The sequence below is a fragment of the Homo sapiens genome, chromosome X (assembly GCF_000001405.40).
Source record: "Homo sapiens chromosome X, GRCh38.p14 Primary Assembly".
In the NCBI taxonomy this organism is placed as follows: Eukaryota; Metazoa; Chordata; class Mammalia; order Primates; family Hominidae; genus Homo; species Homo sapiens.
In genome coordinates this window covers 68880723-68885040 of record NC_000023.11, presented here as the reverse complement: position 1 = coordinate 68885040, position 4318 = coordinate 68880723, and positions in this window count along the sequence as shown.

Sequence of the window (4318 nt, the reverse complement as noted above, 5' to 3'; positions counted from 1 at the left end):
GAGATTCCAGTTAAACAGCTGAGCTGCAAATTGGGGAAATCAAACATAAACCACCTCAATAAACCTATCAAGGCCAGCAAACTCCCTCTTTTGTTCTCATTCCCTGACCTGTGCTTGGCTTCTAAAGGGACAGCAAAATAACTCTGGTTTGTAGGCAAGACCTCTAGTGTCACTCTGCCTGGGTTGGAATCCCAACTCTCCCACTTAAGTATCGGTGAGAGCTTGAGTGGGTAAGTTATCCTCTATGTGACTCAACGTCCTCATCTGTAAAATGGGGTTGTTGTGGGATTAAATGACCTAATATTGGTAAAGCAGTTAAAATAGTGCCTGGCATGTAGTAAGCATTCTTATTATTTCTAGAACACTACACCCTGGGCAGCAGAAGTTCTATGAAAAGGCATTAGACTTGGACACCAGCAGATCTTGGCGTAAACCTTCCATTCTTCATGCGAGCTCTCAGATTCCTCATCTTTAAACTCTTAACCCATAGGGTGGCCTATAGATTAGATGAAGAATATATCTGTGAATATGTCTGGTCATCCCTAGCGTATAGTAGGTGCTCAATAAATGACAGCCCACAAAAATCCCCCGAACATCTGTCACCACTTTCCAGAGCTGGCACCATGACCTCAGATGCTTAAACAATCATCAGGCAGTCCAGGATCTCTCGCAGACACTTCAGTCAGCCTGGTGTCCGTCTTCATGGAGGTGGAGGGGTGTGACCCAAAGGCCTGAGACTTTTCCAGGAGGGTGTCCTGCTTTGTGTATCTTAGAGAGGCAATATTTCTCCAACTCTAGAGTCCAGACTAGGGTGGAGCCCAAGAATTTGCATTTCTAACAAGTTCCCAGGGGTGTTGAAGCTGCTGGTCTGGGGACCACACACGGAGAACAACTGCCTTGGAGCAGCAACTTTAACTTGCATGCAGAACACCTGGTGAAATTGTTAAACTCTGGATTCTGGTTGAGTAGGTCTTGGATGGGCCCTGGGACTCTGCATTTCTAATAAGACTCCAGGTGCTACTGTTGCTCCACTGACCAGACTTTGGGTAACAAGGCTTAGAGGAGTGGTTGATATATTGTTAATTATCAACCCTGACCAACAGGTTGGCAGGTGAGCAGTGGTAAGCAGACCAGGGGAGGGGAGCATGGGGCTCTGGAGGCAGGAATTCAGCAAGAAGGCAGTATCAGGGGAGAGGTGAGAAGATAGCACTTTACCAGCAAAACGAAGACAACAGTGAGGACAGCAGCGCTGGATTCTGGGATAGGCAGACAGCCTGCGTTGAAGGCCCTAGCATAGCAGTATGTGTGCACGCATAAAAGAGAGAACAAAATATCTTAAAAGAATTTGATATATTTTTTCAAGCATCAAAGTAGTATCCTGGGAAAAATCAAAACTTTGTTGGACTTCCTTACATGTATTTTATGAGCTAGTATTGTTTTTAATTTTAATTATATATGGCCAGTGGGTGGGAGAGGGGGAGGGCTCTGCAGTCTGTTTAGGGCTTAAGGCTTCTAAAGGTCCTAAAACCCAATCCTGGTGGCCACTGATGTCTTTGTCCGTGAGCTTTGAGGCCTGAGGTTGTGGCCAAGTTTGTGTTCTGCTGGTTCTCCCCTGCCAATCCCAGGGTGTGCAGAGGAGGTTCCATCTTATTAGATGGAATACACGTCATCATCTAAGGGAGTTCAGAGCTCTTAGATGGAGTGTCATACAAGAATAATGAGGGTTCACAGGACTTGAGGGGCATCAGTGTCAATGTCATGAAATCAAGGGAACAAAGAGAGGGGACATGTTCCCCATGGACGCTCCCTGCCAGCACACATCTGAACCAGCAGGTAAGGAGGACACCCTCAGCCCCTCCCAAAGGTCGGGGGCACAGGAATCCAAGTCACACACACCAGCCTGCATTTGAAACCCATCTCTACCTCTGCTTAGCTGTATGGCCTGGGACTAGCAACATTTCTGTTCTTGGTTTCTTTATCTGTAAAATGAGAACGATAAAAGTGTCTGTCTTAGAGCATTGTCATAAGAACTAATTTGGTTAATATAAAGTGCTTAGAATAATGCCTGGAACATCATATACCTTCAAAACTGGTGATTGTCATAATTATCTAATAGCAGTCACAGTCATAGTAATAACAGCATTTCAGTAGAAACAGAGATGAGTTTGGGAACTGGGAAACCTCTGTCCAAGGAGGCAAAGGGCACAGGTGAGAGGTGAGTTGTGTGCAAGATGTGCCTGTTAAGATTCTTCAGCCCCACCCACCACTGCCCAGTCTAGCCAAGTCATGCATGGGGCCAGTGAGACCATCAGACAAGAACCAGAATGGGTCCTGAGTGACCAAAAAATCCTGGTGATGAAACTGCACACCTTGGGGACATGGGCTGTTTCCATCTCTTCTCCTAGGTGAAAGCTGTCCCTTGTGAAAACGGAGCAGCAATGGGTGGTTGGGAGCGGGCATGTTCTCTCCAGACTGCAGTGGGTATCAGGCCCCTGCTGCTGGAGAGGAAATGGCTGTGCCATTCTTGGTGGCCTTTGGTGACCATGGGTCTCTCAGAGGGCAGAAGGAGGGGGAGGTCAGTGGTTTGTCTGGACCTAATTCTGGCCCACAAGAGAGACCCAGCTGAGGAGAGGGAGGAACTGGTCCCCTAGGAGGAATAAGCGTGTCTGCCCAGGGCCACTTCTCACTAAGAGGGAGGGCTGGGCCCCCGAGGGCATGGACTCTGGGGACCTGGAACTTAGACTTCAGAGAAGCCAAAGAAAAGAATGAGGGACAGTACCCACGTGAGAAGAGGTAATTCCGAGACTAAGGAGAATGGGAGGTTCATATGTGGCCTGAAAGAAGGGAAAACAAAAATAGAAGCAGGCATATTTTTAAAGAACAAGGAAGAAGAGACACATACGTAAATGTGAAAGCAGTGAATGACACAGGCCTATAAGAATAGTATCTGATCCTCTTCTCAGCACCAAAATGCTAGTACAGATTCGAAATGCCCAAGGCCTTCCTTTGCCAAAAGAGCACATCTGTATCCAGATGTACTTGGAAGTCCCACATCCACTGTATGTTTCCCATTGCCCACCAGCGCAGCTAGGATGGCTGCAAGGGTGATTTCAGAAGGTGACAAGAGGTGGTCCCTGGTCCCTGCCTCCTTCCGGACCTGTGCCAGCCCATCTGGGCCACTGGGTCCCCCTTAGCATCATTGGGAACCTCCTTCACCAACTGCTTTGGGCTTTGAAAGATTTATTCTTCCAAACACACAGAATTCATGGAGTAACAATTCATTTATCTTCCCAATTTGATTGTACAGTCGACAACAGTTTGATTCGGCTGCCAGTCAACACTTCTGGCCAGCTTGAGATTGGCCAGGACACACTGAGCTGCTACAGGCACAACAGTCCAAACCCTTTGGAAGTGCTGTGCCGACTCTCAGATGCCTCTCCAGCTGTTTTCATGGCATGAGCTTGAGATGGGAACCACAGACCTTGCCTCACCCCTTTAGGTTCCAGAAAGGGCCAGTGACTGACCTAAGGGTAAGCAGGGAGAGGTGGGAAGCAAAGGGCTCCTGGCTCTAGCCCGGAGCCCTGTTACAGGATGGCCTCAAACTTGTACAAACCTTCTTCCAAATGTGCACGCAGTGCCTGTTAAATCAGTCTGCTTGGCCTGGCCAAAGCGCCTTCCCCTTCCCCCACAGCCCTACATCCTGCATCTCAGACCCCCTCCCCTCCAGCCTCAGGGCCTAATCCCAAGTGTCCTTTTCACGTCCGCACCCTCCCCTCCCCTCCCCCAGCCTGTTCTCCATAGGAATGGGCCCCCCAGCCTTCCCATCTCCTGCTTCCCACCCCCCTCAGCCCCAGCCCTATAGAGTGTCATAAATTCTAACGAAACCCCATCAGGGGAAGAAAAGGAGCAAAAAGTGCCTAATTGGCAGGGGCCTCGAAGCTCTTGGTCCCTGTGGTGGGATTGATAAGGTTCCTGGGAAGCGGTAGGGGTTTGGAGAGAGGAGGGGAAGGCTGGGGGCCTGCCTGCCAAATGTAGCCAATTAATGTCAGTGCTGCCTTTCATGCCAGCCAATTAAGTCCCACATACTTGTCACCAGCCCTGGGAAGGGGGGGCAGGGAGGGCGGGGCAGGGGGTTTCAAGGGAACAACTAATTTCCCTGCAGCCAGGATAATGCAGCCTTCAAAATGGGGAGAGGGTTCAGGGGGAGCTGGAAGGTGGCTGGGGGTCGCCGGGGGCAGGCGGCAGGGAGGGGCAAGGTGCAGAACAGTGGGGCTCTGTGGGGACTTTTTGTTCGGAGCCCTGGGAGAAATGGAAGCTT